Source organism: Homo sapiens, chromosome 1 (assembly GCF_000001405.40).
Source record: "Homo sapiens chromosome 1, GRCh38.p14 Primary Assembly".
Lineage (NCBI taxonomy): Eukaryota > Metazoa > Chordata > Mammalia > Primates > Hominidae > Homo > Homo sapiens.
The window spans coordinates 111511484-111533852 of NC_000001.11; the positions used below are offsets into that span (position 1 = coordinate 111511484).

A 22369-nucleotide genomic window follows, 5' to 3' on the forward strand; every position below is an offset into this window, starting at 1 on the left:
TTTTTGCATCTTCTAACTTCAATCACAAACCACTACAGATAGAAAACACCACGTGACCTATTTGGGTCTAGTTAAAGGAAACCTCAGACAGAATGTCTAATATTTACATTACAGTTGCTATTTCAGCATTTTTACCTATAACAACCATTTCATTCCCTCATCTCTGTGATCTATCTCAAATGGTGCCCTTTACACACACACACACACACACACACGTCCACATGCTCTTTCCATCCTCTCTGTTTATTTCCTATGCCACAACTTTCGCAGTCAGAGCTCATTTGTTCATTTACTTGTCTTTGGTCTGTCCCCTTGCTTGTCTTGTTCACAATTCTATCTGCCAGACCTGGAACCACCTCTGGCCCTAGTTACCAGCTTAGTCTGACACATTACTCCTGATCACTGACCACTGATCTTGCCCCAAATCACAGTGTTCATGATGGGGTTTTTAGGACACAACACATTTGGAGTAAGATGTAACACCAGAGGGAACGGAGGCCCAGAGTAGCCAGTTCAGGGTCAAAACTAGAAAAGCAGCCAGGTTTCTTTGCTAGCAAGCCCCCTTCACTGGCTCGTTTGTCACTCTGTCCCCGTTTTCTGAAACCTGGGCCAAAGAGCTTAGGGCCCTCCAATCAAGCACACAGCTGACCCTTCCTTCTTCATCACTGCACTTGCCCTTTGCCAGTTGGCCAGTCAACCCATGCTAGTGGGTAGAATAGTGGGTGCTAATCAGTTACATTACCCACATCAGCAGTGCCCTTCAGGCCCTCTCAAGCTGTGCCTAATTGATGTTCAGCTGCAGTGAGACACAGCCACCTGTGCGTCCAGCATGGCACGCACTCTAGTGCCTCCTCACTGGGCATCAGGCCCGCCCCACTCCACTCACCCCAACGTGCTCCAGAGGAGAAATCACTGTCAGGCTCCAGCCATGTGTTTCTGAATATGCTGTGTCTTTCTTATTTTGAACTCTGTGTCTAAATGGATGACCTTAGCCAAACTGCTTAATCTCTGTGCCTTCATTTCCCCCTTTGATAAATAAGATACCCCTCTGCGGACTGGATGAAGTAACCCAGGCACAGCAGTTAGCACAGCACTTGGTCCCCTGCACCACCACCTTGGGCAGCTACCAGGAATGTGAGTGCTGCAGCTGGGTGGGGTTGGGGGTTGATGTTTCACTATCAGAGCCACTCCAGTGCCCAACCAGTGCTCCACTTCCACTTACAAGGTGCTTGGTAGAGGTTGAATTAAAGGAAAGTCATTCCACACCCACCACCCTGTGGGCTACTGAACTGTGAGATACAGACTTGTTGGGAAGCCACAGGGGTGTGTTCCATAGACCCTGTGTTTCTGAAGGGCTGATTGTCTCAGTCTTTCTCTGGAGGTGCTCTATCCCTGTTCCAACTGCCCCAGTGGTACCTCCAGCTTTAGAAATAGGAAGTATCCAAAAGAGACTGTGGGAGGCAGTACCATTTTCCTCTCTTTTCTCCACCCTTGCCAAGAAGCAGTGGTTTGTCAGCATAAGCAGGCCTGCTGGGTGGACTTTGCGAACCCCGGGGAAAGGCTGCCCCAGGTCTGACAGTTCACAGCTTCCAGACATTTAGTCTTCCAGGTCACCAGCCCCCAAGAGCCACCCAGGCCACCTCAGTTGCTGCAGGTGAAGCCCTCTAAGGGCCAGATATCAAGAACTAGAGTATTCAGAGCAATAATCACAGTTTCTGTTTCTTGAGTGTCATTCATTTTAGAAGGCCTGGCGGATCACTCAGCACTACTCACTGCTATAAAGGGGCCACCTCCTGCACAGGGTGTGAGGGTTGCTGAATAAACAGCAACAAGTGGGGATATTACAGCCAACCCCAGCCAAAACAACTGCACATCGGCAAACACGGAGGCACATGAGGCCAGTAATTTAATTTGCATTACATTTATTTGTATTTTCTCTTGACCTGAAATACAAAACATCCTCTAATCTTTCATTAACCCTGGAAACATTTCTGCTTTCAAAGAAGTAAATAAATAAAATTTATTCTAGGTTGGGAGTTTAGCCTCAGGGCTGGGCTGGGGAGCCAGGCTCTCCATTCTCTCCCAGGCCTCCAAGATAAAATCTCATTCTGTCCTTGTCCCTCTAAGATAAGTCAACTGGCCTGCTCAGTCCCAGAGGAAAGTTCGACACGGTTTCAGTGACCGTGACTTCAGCAGGGCCAACAGAACTCTAGGTCACTGCAGATGGTCCATCCTATGCCCCCTCCCTCCCTCTACCCCACCCACGCCTAGTGCCCATGACTAGGGCTTTTTGTGTTATCTCGGAGTTGGCGCCCTCTCCATTTCCTGCCAATAATGCTAGCTGTTGTTTCTGAGCAAATGGAACAAATGACCAACGTGAACTCTATGCTGTCTGCAAACTGGAAACATCTGCAGGGAGGCAGGGCATCCCCTAGTTGGGGTGCGGTTGCATGGGAGCTGGTGGGAGGGGCTGTGGGAAGAAGGTCCAAGAATCTCAGGGAGGAGGGCAAAGGGTGAAGCCTCAACAGAAAACTGCACATAGGCACATGGGCCTCACAACCCCGTCCCTTCTTTTACTTTCCAAACATTCACTCTTTGCAGTGTCTTGACCAAATGAAGGGAGGATGCACATACCCTTTTATAAATATCATTTAAGATGTTAAACTCTTGTGTGGTAAAGCCAAAATGGCTCGTAGAAAGCAATAGGTGCAACTCGCCATTTCAGAGATGATGACAAAGGCCCAAAGAGGGAGTAGATGTAGTAGCTACAAGTAAAGTCTGGGATGTGCGGCAGCTCACACCTGTGATCCCAGTGCTTTGGAAGGCCGAGACAGGTGGATTGCTTGAGCCCAGGAGTTCAAGACCAGCATAAGCAACATAGCAAGACCCTGTCTCTACAAAAAAAATTCAGAAAAAATTAGTTGGGCGTGGTGTAAAAAATTATAGACCTGCACCTGCAGTCCCAGCTACTTGGGAAGTCAGGGAGGTCAAGCCTGGGAGGTTGAGGCTGCAGTAAGCAAGGATCACACCATCACCGCACTCCACCCTGGATGACAGGATGAGACCTTGACTTAAAAAAAAAAGCAGCAGCAAAGTCTGAACCATACCCAGAACCGCCATTACCTTACTGCTAGTATATGAGTGTGCATACAGTATGGGAACACACACACACACACACACACACATCATACCATGCTGCCTCCCTTAAAGTCATGGTAAAAAGAGTCATGCCTCCCTTAAAGCCAGGAGCCATGTTCAGACTTCCCCATGCAGTAACACAATAATGGTAACACTCCAGGGCTCTCTCCGGGCCTGGACCACACTAGCACATCCTCTAATCTTTCATTAACCTTGGAATACTCTTGTCAGAGGCTCTCCCTGGATCCTTGACATAGCCCTATAATAGAGCCTGTCATTTTCATCACCTCTTCTTTTCACAGATAAGAATATTGACATTGAGCAAGGTCAAGCAACTTGCCCAAGTTTGCACTGCTAGCAAAGGGCAGAGCCCGTCTTGACCTCAGGCAGTCCCATGCCCAGCCGCCTGTGTTACACTGCCTGGAACCCCACATTGAATCCAACTGCAACCTTGAGAAGTGGGATTTGCTCATTTCTGCAGATGGGAAACAGAGGCTGAGAGTTTAGAATCCTGAATTCAACAGAAAGACAGCCCTTGGTCAGCTCTTCCACTGCGGAGGGAATCTCTAGAGTGAGACCTAGTTTCTTGACCCAGACTAACCTGGAAATGATTTTCTGAGCATCACAGTGGCGGGCGCAAGGGGGAAGATCCACTAGCTCTTCCTTCCTGATTTCACTGGGGTCGCTGAACCAGAACTCCCACCTACTAAAAACTGAGCCTGGCTTCTCTTGCGCCTTGGGGAAGTGCCAGTTCCCTACCCTGTGGCCTGCGGTCCTCAGCCCTGCTTGTGTGAGGAAGGAGTCGCCGCTGAGAGGCTGTTCATGCCCTGGTTGTAGAGATTGGTGTTCCCCGATGGGAGTTGGGGACGCTGCCAGTCCCCTTTCAGCAGATGACAAGGAAGGAGGTCTCTGCAGCAGCCAGCTGCCCCTTGTGCCAGAGGCGATGAGCACCGGGCCTCCTGGCAGCGGCTGGGTTCCGCGGCAGCACGGGCCGCTCCCCTGAGCCTGGGAAGGAGGACACAGAGACTGCCCAGGAGCAGCGCTGAGGGGGCCCTGGCGCCGGGGACTGTGGCCCCGACAACCCCCCAGAAGTCGCAGTGGCGTCGGCTCTTCTCCCTTGCTCTACTGCGGCTGGTGGAGGGGGCGGGACTGTCGACCTGATTCATCCAAGACACAATTTGAGGATGCTGGTGCTGCGCCGGCCGGACGCACTCCTCCGGAACTCCGGGAGCCGGGGAGGCCGGAGGGAGGGGTGTTCCCCGCAGCTCGCAGAGGTCAGCACAGCCCCAGCCCAGACTGGAGGAACTGACCGCGGCGTTCCTACCATTTATATGTCAGGGAGCGGCGGGAACCTGCAGGTGGGACCGCATGATTCCTGCTGAAGGACTCATCTGAGGCGAGTCTCTAGGAGGCTGGGCGTCCTCTGCACAACCCCGTCATGAGAGCAATTGGGTTTGCCCCCTGCCTGCCAGGACAGCGCCCTCAGCACCCCTGTTGGCAGGGCCGCGGTCCAGGGCAGACGGCCCTCACCTCCCAGGGCCTTGCAGGCAGCACCTTGTGCTAAAGTTGGCCTAAGCAGGAAGCTGCTCTCAGGGCATTTGAGAGAGGGGAGTGGGAATGCGAGCCAAAAGGAAGTCACGAAGATCAACTTAAAAATAGCACCCCCTCCAGGTCAGTCAGGAGGAGGAACTTGTAGAAAAGCCAAGTTCTGATGGTGATGGCTCAGGGCGACGTCAGAAAAGCCCAAAAGCAAATCAGCAGAGGCCGGGCTTGGAGCACATCTCATGCTCTTATCAGCCTCAGCAAACCACTGCCAAGACCCCTTCTTCTCCTTAGACTTCCGCCCCAGCCAGCATCTGTTTCCTCTCCTAAATTTAAACAACCAGGTTAGTGAACTTGAGAGAGCATTTCTGCCCAGAGAACAGCAGACCCTCCTACGCCCTCAACAGAACACACAGGACACACAATGACACCAACTCCTCCTCAGCTTCTGCTGGGTGAGTGGGGCCCAGGGTTTCTGAGAAGGCCTCAGCTCCCATTATTCCAGGCAGAAAGCCACAAAGCTGAAGTCTGAAGAAGACCTCAGCTTGAAAGAGAGTAGGCAGGCCAGATGGCTGGGTTGTCCCAGGTTGAGCAGTGTGTGATGCCTTCCAACACGGGATAAGGTGAAGGGGGCCCTCAGGAAAGCCAGAAATCCACAAAACAACACTTGTTCCACGGCCCCAGCCCTGAGTGTTGATGGGTAAACCTCTTAACACAGCTAGTATTGGGATAAATCAGACCTTCTGGCTTTTTCTAGGCACCATTCTCACTCTTATCTAAATAGAGCTGTTTGCTTAGGGGAAGGTGACAGCAACTACCTAGAACCTTTCCCTGGTTCTGCTGGCTTCTCAGTCCCAGACTATTATGGCCCCATCCCACACTCTCTCACTCTCACTCTCCCTTCCTCCCTCTGTCCCAAGTGCAGGAGTGCAAGCTCATGCTTGCGCATGTGTACACACACACACATGCACACACTAGCCTCATGGAAACATTTAGGGCAAAGAGGGATGTCTGAGGAACCCTCGATAAAGTCTCTCCTGGAGAGACTGAGTCCATATCCTTTCTCTTAGGCTATCAGGCCTCAGACATTTCCAAGAAATGTTCTTCCTAAGTAGCTTTATGCTGCTATGGCAATACAGGGTGACTTCCTTGGATTTAGCAGTAGTCAATGGAAAAAAAAAAAAAGCGAGGACTGCTCCTGTTAATTGCATCCTGCTGTCTAGATTGCCTGTCACTCTCTTCTCTACATACCCCAGGCCATTTGTTGCAGCCAAGCTACTAGATTTCTCTTCCTTTCCTTACATATAGAAAACTGGTTAAATGTGTCCTATTCTGAGAATTTGCCCTGAGTAGAGCATTTCTGAATTTCAGTCCACAAAAAACACATGCCAGAATCATACTAGGATTCAAAACCCCAGCCCTGCCACTTAGTGGCTGTGTGAGTTTTGGCAAATTGCTTTAATTGTTCTGAGCTTATTTTCACATCTGTAAAGTGAGACTGAAAGAGGTTAATAAAAGCCACTTCAAAGAGCTGTGAAGTGGATTCAATGAGATGTTAGTTATAGATACCTGGCACCTTGCCCAACAACAAAAAGTGGGTCCTCAGTGGGTTGATGCACTTTTCTACTGCTGCATGGATTATCTATTTCTGTTTGGTGTGTTCCCCTTCATACTCCACATCAAAAACTTCAGAGCTTCATATTAAAACCAGTGCCCCTCTCAGCATTAGCCTCATAATGACTCCCCAGTAATAACAGCAAATATTAGTTGAGTAGTTTCTATGCAGACTGGGTTCTTTTGTATCTTAACACATCCCTGTGAGGCGGATATCATTTTGTACCCATTTTATAGATAAGTAGGCTGAGGTTCAGTGACTTACTCAAGAACACATATGCAGTTCATGGTAGAGCCAGGATCTGGACCCAAGCAGGCTGGCTCCAGAGGAACCACTTTTAACCTTTTTGCTATACCTGTGCTAACTGTTTGACAGATTGTGGCTCCCACTGTTAGGGACTTTTTCTGAATATAAGACAGACATGGATGGTCTTGATTTCTCCAGAATCTGGGTTTTAATCAGCCACACTGAATTGATCATTTGACAATGGTAGTTACCATTCATTCAGCATCTACTTATTTTAAGCCAGACACTTTGCATACATTATCTCTAAACCAGGGTTTCTCAACCTCAACCCTATTGACATTGTGGACTGGATAACTCTTTGTTGTGAGGAGCTGAATGTGCACTGTAGGATGTTTAGCAGTAACCATGGCTTCTGCCCACTAAATGCCAGTAGCATCCCCACATCCAAGTCATGACAATCAAAAGCGTCTCCAGACATTACTAAATGGTCCCTGGGAGAATTTGGAGGATGAGAATCACTCCCAGTTGAGAAACAGTGATCTAAACGAGAAGCCTAAAGTTCAGAGAGGCTAAGCGATTTTCCCAAGGTCACAAGCCTGGCAGGCAGCAGAGATAGAATCTGAACCAAGCTTTGCCTAACACCAAGGTCCAAGTAGGATCATTACATCATGCTCTCTCCTAGTTCCTAAATAAGGAAGGTGTGAACTAGATACTGAAATCTACTTGCCCAGAAGCAATACCATTAATGCATTCTGATTCTCCTATGCCAATATGGTTCAAATTCTGAACTTACAACCTCTGGCTACTTAACAGAGCACAATCTAGATGTAAGATTTTTGGAGCCAAATCAACTGTGACCTAGGCCATCCTTCCCCAACTAGGAATATTTTCATTTTTTGTTTGTTTGTTTGTTTGTTTGTTTTTTGTTTTGTGAGACGGAATCTCACTCTGTTGCCCAGGCTGGAGTGCAGTGCCGTGATCTTGACTCACCGCAACCTCTGCCTCCCGGGTTCAAGCGATTCTCCTGCCTCATCCTCCCAAGTAGCTTGGATTACAGGTGCCTGCCACCACGCCTGGCTAATTTTTGTATTTTTAGTAGAGACGAGGTTTCACCATGTTGGCCAGGCTGGTCTCAAACTCCCGACCTCAGGTGATCCATCCACCTCGGCCTCCCAAAGTGCTGGGATTACAGGCGTGAGCCACCGCAACCAGCCCCAACTAGGAATTTAAGCTCTTATTTACAGTCCTGTGTCCCCTGAGTGTGCTATGAGGCTTGGTTTGAGCACCTACTCCACTAGTTCTTCTGGAACCACTGAGAAGATCATGGTCTTGGGAAATAATGGCAGCACTTTGTGTTTCTTATCTTCAGCCATTGTTTAAAAGAGCTGAGGGCAGAATCACAACTCAAACTTCTGCCTGAGTTTCATTTCCTTTTGGTTCCAGATTAATTTATTAAAATCTTTATGAACACAAAATGGACTGAATTTGCAAATGACTCCACAGCCTGTGACACGGAGAGATGTGTAATCAAAGAGAGACCACCAGGCACATAATTATCAAGTTGCATACAGGAAGACTCATTCACAGCAGAGTTGAAACTAACCCAAGCCCAGGTTTCTTTATCATTTTTTTTGTTCTCCCTTTCCCTCCCCGAGCTTAGTGCCTTTTCTCTTCTTTTTTTTTTTTTTGAGATGGAGTCTCACTGTCACCCAGGTTGGAGTGCAGTGGCATGATCTCGGCTCACTGCAACCTCCACCTCCCAGGTTGAAGTGATTGTCCTCCCTCAGCTTCCTGAGTAGCTGGGATTACAGGCACCTGCCACCACACCCAGCTAATTTTTGTATTTTTAATAGAGATGGGGTTTCACCATATCGTCCAGGCTGGTCTCGAACTCCTGACCTCAGGTGATCCACCTGCCTCGGCCTCCCAAAATGCTGGGATTACAGGCGTGAGCCACCGTACCTGGCTGCCTTTTTCTCTTCTTTGCTGGGCCCTGTTGTACACAGACCCGGTTAACCACTGTTAATATACTGTACATTAGCAAACAGGACGAACAGGAACCTCTTTCCATATGGTCTTCAATGCACAGTCAAAAACAACAACAACTAATAGTAAATTCTGCAGGAAACTAAATAGGTTGTCATAAAGAGTGGGTTCACTGCCAGAGCCAGCTTGCTTTCTTTTATGGAGGAAACGATAGTTAATAGCAGCTGCTACCCATGTTAGTGAAGTCCAAAGGCCTTGACAACCTTAGTACATGTGCAGTCAGGTAGCTGCCATCTCAGTGTTCCCCAAAATCTCCCCATGTGTTCCTCCTGACTAGAGTCATCACAGAAAAGTTTTTATTACAAGATCATAAAATCAACAATCTCGCCAACAAGATAATAAGATGATGATGGCAAAAGGGTGAGAGTAAATCTCAGTCTCCCATGCAGGAAACTGGAAGATTAGGACTTTTACTTTAAGGCTGTGTAATTTCTTAACCAGGTGAATAGAAGGGGAGATGAAATTTAGTAGTAAAGGCAGAAACTGTCTCAGAGGTGCTTGTCAATGTAACTAAGAGACTGTTTTGGATGGAAGCCATTCATTTTTCAAATATATCTGAAAACAGTGTTTTTCAAACTACAGGTATCAATTCATTCAGGAATCCTGAAATCAACTTAGTGGATCATGACCACATTGCATTTTCAGTTAAATGGAGTGGAATGGATATGTCAGACTACATTGTACATAGCAATGGTATTTTTGTTTCAGTTATATGTTTGTGTGCTGGTAGGTAGTAATCTGAAATGAATTCTCCTTATTTTATACCTTTATTGAAGTCTAATTAGCATGCAATAAATTGCATATATTTAAAGTGCACGCTTTGACTTATACAAGTTTTGGCATATGTATACACCTGTGAAACCATCACCACAGTCAAGATAATAAATATGGCCGTCGCTCCCAAGTCTCCTCATGCCTCTTTGTAATCCCTCCCTCCCACCCCTTCCCACCCTATCCCCTAACTATTGATCTGCTCTCTGTTATTACAGATTAGTTTGTATTTTCTGTATAACTTTGGCATTCATCCATTTGTTGTGTGCATCAGTGGTTCATTCATTGTTAATGTTGAGTAGGATTCCATTGTGTGGATCTATCGTAATTTGCTTGTGCATTCACCTATTGATGGACATCTGGATTGTTTCCAGTTTGGGACTATTACAAATAAAGTTGTCATAAATATTTGTGAAGAAGTCTTGTGAGGACATGTTTTTGGGGTAAATACCTCGTTATGGGATGACTGGATCATACAGTGGATGCATTTCACTAAAGAAATTGCCAAATTTTCTTGTAAAATGATTATATCATTTTACATTCCCACCAGTAATGAATGAGAGTTCCAGTTTCTCCACATACATCCTCACCTGTGCTTGGAATGGTCAGTTGCTTTCGTTTTAGCCATTGTAGTGGTTACATAATGGTATCTCATTTTAATTTGCATATGCCTACTAACCATTGAGACTGAGCATCTTCTTATGTGCTTTTTTGACATTTGTATATCATCCTTGGTGAAGTAACTATTAAATTTTGTGCCCATTTTTCTATTGGGTTATTCATATTCTTAATGAAGTTGTTAGAATTCTTTGTATATTTTAGTTATAAGTCTTTCGTCAGATATAAGATTTGCAAATCTTTTCTCCTGGTTTGTGGCCAACTTTTTACATTCTTAAGAGTGCCTTATGAAGGACAAAAGATTTCATCTTTACTGTTAATTTTTGCTCGTATATTTTGTGCTTTTGTGTTATATTTAAGAAATCTTTGCCAAACCCAAGGCCACTAGGACCTTCTCCTGTGTTTTCTCCTAGAAATTTTATAGTTTTAGTCTTATATTCAAGTCAATATTACATTTCAAGTTAATTTTTGTATATGGTATGAGGTAAGGGTTGAGGTTCATTTTATTGCATATGGCTATTTAATTGCTTCAGCACCATTTGTTGAAAAGATTGTCCTTTACCCATTCAGTTGTTTTGGCACCTTTCTTGAAAATCAATTGACCATATACGTATGGGTTTATTTCCATTTTTGCTCTGTATTGTGTTACATCAATCTATTTGTCTATCTTTATACCAATACCACATCATCTTGATTGTTGTCATTTTACAGAAAGTCTTGAAATCAGGTATTATTGGTACTCCAACTTGGTTCTTTTTCAAAGTTGTTTTGGCTATTCTAGGTCTTTTGAATGTTCACATACATACATTTTAAAATCAGCTTTTCAATTTCTTCAAAAAAGTCTTCTAGGAATTTGATTGGATTGTGTTAAATTGACAAATCAGTTTAGGAGAGAATTGCCAATTCAACAACACATAATCTTACAATCTACGAACACACACATCATATCTCTCCACTTTATTTGTCGTTCTTTAATTTCTCTCAGCAATTCTCTGTAGTTTTCAGTGTTCAGATTTTACAAACCTTTTATTAAATGTACTCTTAAGTATTGTTTGTTGCTTTTTTTTTTTTTTTTGAGACAGAGTCTCGCTCTGTCACCCAGGCTGAAGTGCAGTGGCGTGATCTCAGCTCACTGCAACCTCCACCTCCTGGGTTCAAGCAGTTCTCCTCCCTCAGCCTCCTGAGTAGCTGGGATTACAGGCGCGTGCCACCATGCCCAGCTATTTTTTTGTACTTTTAGTAGAGATGGGGTTTCACTGTGTTGGTCAGGCTGGTCTCGAACTCCTGACCTCGTGATCTGCCCGCCTCGGCCTCTCAAAGTGCTGGGATTACAGGCGTGAGCCACCACGCCTGGCTGGTATTGATCTTAAATTTCAGTGTCTCATGTTCATTACTAGAATAGAGAAATACAATTACTTTTTGTGTATTGAACTTATGTAGGATTTTCTACACAGGCAATCATTTCACCTGCAAAAAAAGAAGTCATACTCATCCCTTTTCAATCAGAATGTCTATTACTTCTTTTTCTTGCCTTATTCCACTGGCTAACTTTAGCACAATGTTAAATAGAAATGGAGAGAGTGGCCATGCTTACTTCTTCCTGATCTTAGGGGGAAAGCATTCAGTCTTTTATCATTAACTATGATGTTTGTTGTAGTTTTTTCACAGATGCCTTATATCCCATTGAGAATGTTTTTTTCTATTCCTACTTTACTAAGAGTTTATATCGGTGATACTGGATTTTGTCAAAAACTGTTTTCTGCATCTATTGACACAATGATATGGTTTTTATTATTTTAGATGTTAATATATGGATTATAAATTGGATTTTGCATAGTGAATAGACCTCTCATTTCTGGGATAAAGCCCACTTGGACACTATGTACCGTATTATTCTTTTTATATATTGTTAGACTCAACGTTGCTAAAGATTTTATGGTTCTTTTCCCCATTTATCTAATGACAGCTATTGGTCTATGATTTTTTTTTCCTGTAATGTCGTCTGATTTCAATAACAAAGCAATGCTGGAAACTGAATAGGTTGTCACAAAGAGTGGATTTCATAGAACGAGCTGGGAAGTATTTTCTTCAATTTCTGGAAGAGTTTATGTGGAAATGGTAATCTTTCATTCTTAAATGTTTGATAAAATTTACCAGTAAAACTATATGGGCTTCGAGTTTTCTTTATGTGAAAATTTGTAATATAAATTTAATTTATTTAGCTTTGACAGTTTGTCTTTAAAATTTTTGTTCCATGTTATCTAAATTGTTGAATTTCTTGGCATAAAATTGTAAATAATATTTACTGATTATCCTTTCAGTGTGTGTGGGAGCCGTAGTTATGTGCCCTTTTTAATTCTTGATATTATTAATTTAGTCTTTTTCTTGATCAATCAGACTAAGGTTTATCAATTTTATTAATATTTTCAAAGAATCTGCTTTTGTTTCAACGATTTTCTCTATTTTTTTTGTTTTCTATTTCACTGATTTATGCTGTTATCTTTATTTTTTCTCTTCTGCTTGCACTGAGTTTAGTTTACTCTTCTTGTTTCTTTCTTTCTTTCTTTTCTTTTTTTTTTTTTTTTTTTGGGATGGAATCTTGCTCTGTCGCCCAGGCTAGAGTGCAGTGGCGCGATCTCGGCTCACTGCAAGCTCCGCCTCCCAGGTTCACGCCATTCTCCTGCCTCAGCCTCCCAAGTAGCTGGGACTACAGGCGCCCGCCACTATGCCTGGCTAATTTTTTGTATTTTTAGTAGAGATGGGGTTTCACCATGTTAGCCAGGATGGTCTTGATCTCCTGACCTTGTGATCTGCCTGCCTTAGCCTCCTAAGGTGCTGGGATTACAGGCGTGAGCCATCGCGCCCGGCCTTCTTTTTCTTTCTTATGGTGAAAATTGAGGAAATCTATTTGAGACCTTTCTTATTCTTTAAAAAAAATTTTAAATGACATATTTACTGGAGTTGTGCCTTTTCTACCACACTGGGTGAAATAAACTTGTCAGTAGTATGGTTTTGTCACTTTCTGGAACACTTGGTAACATAGATAATTAGTGCTATCAATTTCCCTCTAAGCACTGCTTTAGCTGTGTTCTACAAATTTTGATGTTATATTTTTACTTTACTCTTATTTATTTCAAAGTACTTCCTAATTTATGCCCCCTACCCCCATTTTTTTCTGGAGACACAATTTCACTCTGTCGCCCAGGCTGGAGTGCGGTGGCATGATCTCGGCTTGCTGCAACCTCCGCCTCCCGGGTTTAAGTGATTCTCCTGCCTCAGCCTCTCGAGTAGCTGGGATTACAGGTGCATGCCACCATACTCTACTACCTTTTGTATTTTTAGTAGAGACAGGTTTTCACCATGTTGGCCAGGCTAGTCTCAAATTCCTGACTTCAAGCCATCTGCCTGACTCGGCCTCCCAAAGTGCTGGGATTACAGGCATGAGCCACCCCTCTTGGCCTCTAATTTACCTTTTGATTTTTTCTTTGACTTGTAGATTATTTAAAAATGTGTTAATTTCTAAATATTTTAGGATTTTCCTGTTATCTTGTTATTATTGACTTCTAATTTAATTCCATGTGTTGAGAGAACAGTTTGTATGATCTAAATCCTTTTAAATGTATTGAAACTTATGTTTAATTGGTAAATGTTCTATGTGCACTTGAAAAAGATATGTATTCTACTGTTGTTGTGTGGATAGGTCTATAACTGCCAGTTTGGCCTAGTTTATTGATGGTGTTATTCAGTCTTTCTATATGCTTGCTGACTTCCTGTCTACTTGTTCTAAAATTACTGAGGGAGAGGATTTAAAATTTTGACTATAATTGTGAATTTGTCTGTTTCTTCTTGCATTTCTAACAGTTTTCGTTTCATGTATTTTGAAGCTCTGTTATTAAGTACATAAAAGTTTAGAATTACTAGGTCCTATTGATGAATTGTCCTTTTTATTGCTATGAAATTACTCTCCTTATCCCTAGTAATATTCTTTGCTCTGAAATCTACTTTGTTTGATATTAATAGAACCTCTGCAACTTTCTGTTGATGAGTGTTACCATGGTGTATGATTTTTAATCTTGTTACTTTTATCCCATTTGTGTCTTTATATTTAAAACTAATTTCTTTGGCTAGGCACAGTGGCTCACGCCTGTAATCTCAGCATTTGGGAGGCCGAGGCAGATGGATCATTTGAGGTCAGGAGTTTGAGACCAGCCTGGCCAACATAGTGAAACCCTGTCTCTACTAAAAATACAAAAAATTAGCTGGGCATGGTGGTGCATGCCTGTAGTCCCAGCTACCCAGGAGGCAGAGTCAGGAGAATCACTTGAACCTAGGAGGCAGAGGTTTCAGTGAGCCAAGACTGCACCACTGCACTCCAGCCTGAGAGACAGAGCGAGACTCTGTCTCAAAACAAATAAACAAACAAACAAAAACTAATCTCTTTGGAGGAAGTATAGAATTGATTTTTAATTTTTTTATCTAATCTGATAATCTCTGCCTTTTAATTAGATTTAATGTGATTATTGATATCATTGGATTTAAATCTATCATCTGGCCATTTTTTTTCTATTCCATCTGTTCTTGGGTTCTTTTTCCTCTTTTTATGCATTCTTTTGAATTAAGCATTTTGAATACTTTTTAAAAATATACTTTATTTTTTAGAGGAGTCTTAGGTTGACAGCAAAATTGAGTGGTAAGTACAGAGTACCTGTATGTCCCTCTACCTCCCCACCACACACACAATCTCTCTGATATGGTTTTACTATGTCCTCACCCAAATCTCATCTTGAATTGTAGTTCCCATAATCTCCATGTGTGGTGGGAGGGACCTAGTGGGAGGTAATTGAATCATGGGGGCGGTTTCCCCATGCTATTCTTGTGATAATGAGTAAGTTCTCATGAGAGCTAATGGTTTTGTAAGGGGCTTCCTCCTTCAGTTGGCTCTCATTCTTCTCTCTCCTGCTGCCATGTGAAGAAGGACTTGTTTGCTTCCCCTTCTGCCATGATTGTAAGTTTCCTGAGGCCTCCCCAGCCCTGCAGAACTGTGAGTCAATTAAACCTCTTTCCTTTATAAATTACCCAGTCTTGGGTATGTCTTTATTAGCAGCATGAAAATGGACTAAAACACTCTCCCATGAGAGTGGCACATTTATTACAATGAAAGAACATCCCCCACCACAGTGGTACATTTATTATAATGAAAGAACCTGCATTAACACATCATTATCACCCAAAGTTCACACTTTATATTAGGGTTCACTGTTGATGTTGTTCATTCATTGGGTTTTGACAAATGCGTAGTACATGTAACTACCGTTATAGAATCATACTGAATAGTTTCACTGCCCTAAAAATCATCTGTGCTCCATCTTTTCATCCCTCCCTGCCCACCAACCTCTGGAAGCCACTGATGTTTTTACTTAGTTTTACTGCTCTTTGCCCATAGCTTTGCCTTTTTCAGAATGTCATATATTTGGAATCATACAGTATGTAGCTTTTTTAGATAGGCTTTTTTCAGTTTGTAATATACATTTAAGTTTCCTCAATGTCTTTTTTTTTTTTTTTTTTTTTTGAGACTGAGTCTTGCTCTGTTGCCCAGGCTAGAGTGCAGTGGTGTGATCTCGGCTTATTGCAACCTCTGCCTCCTGGGTTTAAGTGATTCTCTTGCCTCAGTCTTCCAAGTAGCTGGGACTACAGGTGCATGCCACCACACCCAGATAATTTTTTGTATTTTTAGTAGAGACAGGGTTTCACCATGTTGGCCAGGCTGGTCTCGAACTCCTGACCTCAAGTGATCTGCCTGCCTTGGCCTCCCAAAGTGCTGAGATTACAGGCGTGAGCCACCGCGCCTGACCCTCCATGTCTTTCCATAGTTTGATAGCTTGTTTCTTTTTAGCACTGAATAAAATTCTACTGTCTGCATGTACCACAGTTTATTTATCTATTCACCTACTGTAAAACATCTTGTTTACTTCCAAGTTTTGGCAATTATAAATAAATCTGTTACAAACACTCATGTGTAGGTTTTTCTGTGGACGTAAATTTTCATCTCATTTGGATAAATACCCCTAGGAACATGATTGCTTGATTGTATGATAACAATATATTTAGTTTTGTCAGAAACTGCCAAACTGTCTTCCAAAGTGTCTTCACCATTTTGCATTTCCCCCAGCAATGAATGCATCCTGTTCTATATCCTTACCAGCATTTAGTGCTATTAATGTTTTGAATTTTGGCCATTCTAATAGTTGTGTAGTGTTATTGTTGTTTTAATTTGCAATTTCTAGTGACATATGAGATGGATCATCTTTTCATATGCTTATTTGCCATCCTTATATCATCTTTGGTGAGCTGTCTGTTCAGGTCTTTTGCCCATCTTTTAATTGGGTTGTTAATTTTTTTATTGTTGAGGTTTAAGGGTTCTTTGTATATTTTGGATAACAGTCTCCTGTATCAGATATGTCTTTTGCAAAAATTATCTTTCAGTCTGTGGCTTATCACCTCATTCTCTCTTAACATTGTTTTTTTGAAAAGTAGTTTTTTTGTAATGAAGTCTAGCTTGTCAATTTTTTTTTTCATGGATCACGCTTTTGGAGTTGTATATAAAAACGCATCATCATATCCAAAAGTCATCTAGATTTTCTCCTGCATTACCTTCTAGGAGTCTTATAGTTTTGCATTTTATGTTTAAGTTTATAATCCGTTTTGAGTTAATTTTTGTGAGAGATGTAAGGTCTGTGTCCAGATTTTATTTTATTTTATTGCATGTGGATGTCATTTGCTCATCATCACTGGTTGAAAATACTATCTTTCTTACAATGGAGACATTGTATTGCCTTTGCTCACTTGTCAAAAATCAATTGACCATATTTATATGTGTCTACTTCTGGCCTTTCTATTCTGTTCCACTGATCTACTTGTCTGTTCATTTGCCAATACTACACTGTCTTGATTATTATAGCTTTATAGTGAGTCTTGAAGTCAGGTAGTATCAGTCCTCTGACTTTGTTCTCCTTTAATATCGTGTTGGCTATTCTGGGTTTTTTGTCTCTCCGTATAAATTTTGGAATCAGTTTGTTAATATCCACAAAATAACTTGGTGGAATTTTCAGAACTATAGATATAGTTTCAGAACTATAGATATAGTTGGGAAGAACTGACATCTTGATAATATTGAGTCTTACTATCCATGATAATGGAATATCTCTTTATTTATTTGGTTCTTTTTTATTTTTGATCTGAGTTTTATAGTTTTTCTCATATAGATATTGTACTTATATTGTTAGATTTATGCCTAAGTATTTTATTTTGGGGATGATAATATAAATAGTATTGTGTTTTTAATTACAAAATTCAGTTGTTTATTCCTTGTATAGAGAAGCAATTGACTTTTGTAATATTCACCTTGCATCCTGAAACTTCTTCATAATTGGTTATTAATTCTAGGAGGTTTTTTCCTGTTTATTCTTTGGAATTTTCTATAATCATGTCATTTGCAAAAACAGACAGTTTCGTTTCTTTCTTCCCATCTGTGTACCTTTTTTTCTTGTCTTATTGCATTAGCTAGAACTTCCAGTACAATAATGAAAAACAGTGGTGATAGGAGACATTCTTGCCTTGTCTTTGTAATTATTTTATTTATTTTTTATTTTTTTTATTTTTTGTAATTTGAAAAACCATAAAGTTTTTATTATTATATAATTCTTATGAGATCATGGGTATACTACCATATTGTCTCTATCATAGAACAAAACTCAAAAATTTCAAGATTTAACTCTGGAAGAAGACTTTCCAAGCAGGAAGGGGAAGCTTGCCCAAGCAACCCCTACACTCTTCCAAGGTTATCCTATCCTTTGGAACTTCCTTACCTCAAGAACCATTGTCAACCCCATGGATACAATTTCTTTCTTTCTTTCTTTCTTTTTTTTTTAATTGATCATTCTTGGGTGTTTCTCGCAGAGGGGGATTTGGCAGGGTCACAGGACAATAGTGGAGGGAAGGTCAGCAGATAAACAAGTGAACAAAGGTCTCTGGTTTTCCTAGGCAGAGGACCCTGCGGCCTTCCGCAGTGTTTGTGTCCCTGGGTACTTGAGATTAGGGAGTGGTGATGACTCTTAAGGAGCATGCTGCCTTCAAGCATCTGTTTAACAAAGCACATCTTGCACCGCCCTTAATCCATTCAACCCTGAGTGGATACAGCACATGTTTCAGAGAGCACAGGGTTGGGGGTAAGGTCACAGATCTACAGGATCCCAAGGCAGAAGAATTTTTCTTAGTACAGAACAAAATGAAAAGTCTCCCATGTCTACCTCTTTCTACACAGACACGGCAACCATCTGATTTCTCAATCTTTTCCCCACCTTTCCCCCCTTTCTATTCCACAAAACCGCCATTGTCATCATGGCCCGTTCTCAATGAGCTGTTGGGTACACCTCCCAGACGGGGCGGCTGGCCGGGCAGAGGGGCTCCTCACTTCCCAGTAGGGGCGGCCGGGCAGAGGCGCCCCTCACCTCCCGGATGGGGCGGCTGGCCGGGCGGGGCGCTGACCCCCCCACCTCCCTCCCGGACGGGGCGGCTGGCCGGGCAGAGGGGCTCCTCACTTCCCAGTAGGGGCGGCCGGGCAGAGGCGCCCCTCTGTAATTGAGTATTTTAAATGATTCTGTTTTATCTTTTGTGTCGGCTCATTAGCTATAACTCTTTTTTATTATTTTTGTAACAAAAGGTTTATAGTATACAGACTACCCTCAAATAATATTATACCATTTCACACAAAGTATGTTAAAACAATATATCCATTTTCCCTTCCTTGTGTTAATGTTATACATTTTACTTCTTTATGTTATAAACCTTCCAATATAATGTTATTGTTTTTGTTTTGCACAATTATTTTTAAAGAGATTTTTTTAAATAATAAAAGATCTTTTATATTTACCTATATATTTACCATTTCCATTGCTCTTTATTCCTTTGTATAGATCCAGATTTCCTTCTGATATTGTTTTCCTTCTGCCAATAGAACTTCCTTTAACATTTATTGTTGCGCAGCTCTGCTGGTTACAAATTCCCTTACTTTTTATAAGTCTGGAAGAGCCATTTGAAATGCCTGAAATTGTCATTGTTGAAAGACATTTTTGATGGGTTTTGACAAATTTTTTTCTTTCAGTACCTTAAAGATGTTGTTCCACAGTCTTCTGGTTTACATTGTTTCTGACATGATGTCTTCTGCCATTGTTATCATTGTTCCTCTATATGTAATGTAGGGGTTTTTTTTCTGAATGTTTTTAAGATTTTATCTTTATCTCTGCTTTTGAGCAATTTGATAATGATGTTTCTTGATGTAATTATTCATGAGGCTTTTTGTTTATTTTGCCTGGGGTTCATTAAGTTTCTTGGATATTTGACTTTACAGCATTAATCAAAGTTGGAAATTCCTCAACCATTACTTCTTCAAACATTTTTGCTGTCCATCCCTATTTCTCCTCTCCTTTAGAGAACTCTATTTACAAGTATATTTGGCTGTATGAAGTTTTGTCATAGCTTACTCATGCTTTTTCACTTTTAAACATTCTTTTAGGCCAGGCACAGTGAAGGCAGATAGGTTGCTTGAGCTCAGGAGCTCGAGACCAGCCTAGGCAACATGGCAAAACTTCGTCTCTACAAAAAATGCAAAAATTAGCTAGGTGTGGTGGCATGCACCTGTTGTCCCAGCTACTCTGGAGGCTGAGGTGGGAGGATCGCTTGAGCCTGGGAGGCAGAGGTTGCAGTAAGCCAAGGTCATGCCACTGAATTCCAGCCTGGGTGACAGAGCAACACCTGTCTCCAGAAAAGAAAAAAAAAAAAACCCAAAACATTATTTTTCCTCTTTATGTTTCATTTGGTATCATTTGTATTGCTATGTCTTCACGTTTACTGATCTTTTCTTCACAGTATTTAATCTGCTGGATGTTAAATCTCAGATATTGTCATTTTCATCTCCAGAACTTCATTCAGGTCTATTTTTATGTCTTCCATGTCTCTATCTAACATGCTCTATCTTTGCCTTCTTGAACACATAAAATACATAACTACTACTAAACGTTGTCTACTAATTCTATCAAGTGTGTCATTTCTGGGTCTGCTTCTTTTTATTTTGCTCCTCACTGTGAATCAGATTTCTGTTCCTTTACATGCCAGATGATTTTCTGATTGGATGGCAGGCCTTGTGAATTTTACCTTGTTAGTGCTAGATATTTTTGTATCCCTGTAAATTTATTTTTAAAATTATTTATTTATTTATTTTTTAAGAGACAGATTCTATGTTGCCCAGGCTGTACTCAAACTCCTGAGCTTAAGCGATCCTACTGCTTCTGCCTCCCATGTAGCTGGGACTACAGGAATGTGCCATCACACCTGGCTTCCTATAAATATTTATAAGCTTTGTTTTGGAACATAGTTATGTTACTTTTAAACTTTGTTAGGTGAAAAAGAAGTTTTAACTAAAAATAAAGAAAAACAAAGGAAAAAAACTTTGTTAGATGCGACTGTTGGTCTAAGGCTAATTTGTCCTACCACTGAGACAATACCTAAGTATTCTACCCAAAACCCTATTAATTATGAGGTTTTCACTCTGGCTGGGAGGAAAGATTATAGCCCTGTACTCTGCTTCTTTGGCGTGGTTCCTTTCCTAGCTTAAGGTAGTTTTCTCACATGCATGTGCTGACCAGCACTCACTCAGCTGAAGGCTTCGGGGAGACCCTCTTCAAATCTCCAAAGCTTTCTCTCTCTGGGTACAACTCTCTCCTGTTCGGTACTCTGTTCTGCAAACTAGCCACCTTGGTTTCTCTGGACTCCCATGTCTATCTTCTCAACCACAGGAAGGAGATATGAAGATGGAACCTCTTTATATTTATCACAGTGAAAACATGCCGTGCCCTAAAATGAAGTCCATCCAGGCCCAGGAAAAACTAAGAAAATCTCATTTGCACTCGCCAGAAGTATTCCAAGTGAATGGCTGTTCTTGGACTTGGCTGATAGTCCTTCAGAGGCTGCCTTTTCCAGAGACTCAGTCCCTGGGCTGGGTGCAGTGGCTCACACCTGTAATCCAAGCACTGTGGGAGGCTGAGACAGGAGAATCGCTTGAGGCCAGGAGTTCAAGACCAGCCTGGGCAACATAGAGAGATCCTGTCTCTACTTTTAAGATTTTTAAAAAGAAAGAGCAAAAGGAAAAAAGAAACTCAGTCCCTCTTGTAAAAGTGCCCCCTGTGAGCCCCTGAAAGGGGTGATGGTCTCTGTGGGACACCACTCAGGGCTGAGTGTTGCCTAACCGTGGCTTGTACCAGGAAGGCCCCGGCATGAAAGGCAATGGCACACTCCTTCTTCCAGAAACCTCAGCTCTAGTCCAAGGGTGAAGATGGATGAGCTGATAGCGGACCTGGTAAAAGAGCTTCTGCAATCTATTGGAGTGAGACTACCTCACAGAAGCCTGAGGTGTCCCACTAGTGTGGTTGCGGGTGGCCCTGTTTATCCACACTGCTCTGTAGAGGGGAGGAACAATCTGTCTTTGCCTTTTTCAAAGACAAGGAGACCACTCCTGCTTTAAAACAGTAACTGCCCCTCCTAACCAGAATATCTGGTCTCAGGATGGAGCCAAGCATGTTATGATTGGATCCACGGGGCCCTCTGACTGTCCCCCAAAAGGATAATTATTGGTTAACTTTTTAAATATGCAAAATACTTCATTTTTGTACGTGGAGGACACAAGTTTTTTCCCCTCCACTGACACTTCATATTTAAGTGTGGGTTATTGAAGCTGACAGTGTTAAATATCCAAATTCCTCACCATACCTTGATTCCTGGAAATAATCTGTTCAATATTTTTAACTAGGCTACCACAGATTCAATGGTTATCTGCATTCCTTAATGGAATTTAAAAATTGTAAACAAGTAATAAAATAGTTTAAGAATGATACCAAAAAGTATAAAAGTATATAAAATTAAAATATCCTTTCCCATCCTTCATCCCACCTGTCATTTCCACATATCTTAGCTAACCATTATTAGCAGTTTGTTGTGTATTTGTCTAGAATATTTCTGTACTTACACATTACTTACGGTAGAGCTTTATTTATTTATTTTTGAGGCAGGGTCTCACTTTGTCTCCCATGCTGGAGTGCAATGGCATGATCTAGGCTCACTGTAGCCTCCACTCCCTAGGCTCAAGTGATACTCTTGCCTCAGCCCCCCGAGTAGCTGGGATTACAGGAGCGTGCCACCACACTTGGCTAATTTTTTGTATTTATCGTAAAGATGGAGTTTCTCCACGTTGCCCAGGCTGGTCTCGAACTCCTGAACTCAAGTGATCCACCCACCTCGGCCCCTAAAGTGCTGGGATTATAAGCATGAGCCACCATGTCCGGC

General features: G+C 42.1%; 1 protein-coding gene across 2 annotated transcripts in view, besides 1 other annotated feature; it reads right to left on the minus strand.

The window, feature by feature from the left end:
* TMIGD3 (transmembrane and immunoglobulin domain containing 3) overlaps positions 1–22369 on the minus strand; it is an 80615-nt gene that overhangs the window by 28136 nt on the left and 30110 nt on the right. The window lies entirely within an intron of this gene.
* Positions 4131–4240: an enhancer, noted in NCBI's record as "active region_1500". NCBI's record gives its function as "activates an Ori minimal core promoter by ATAC-STARR-seq in GM12878 lymphoblastoid cells {active_cell/tissue: GM12878}" and the evidence as "EXISTENCE:reporter gene assay evidence [ECO:0000049][PMID:35858748]".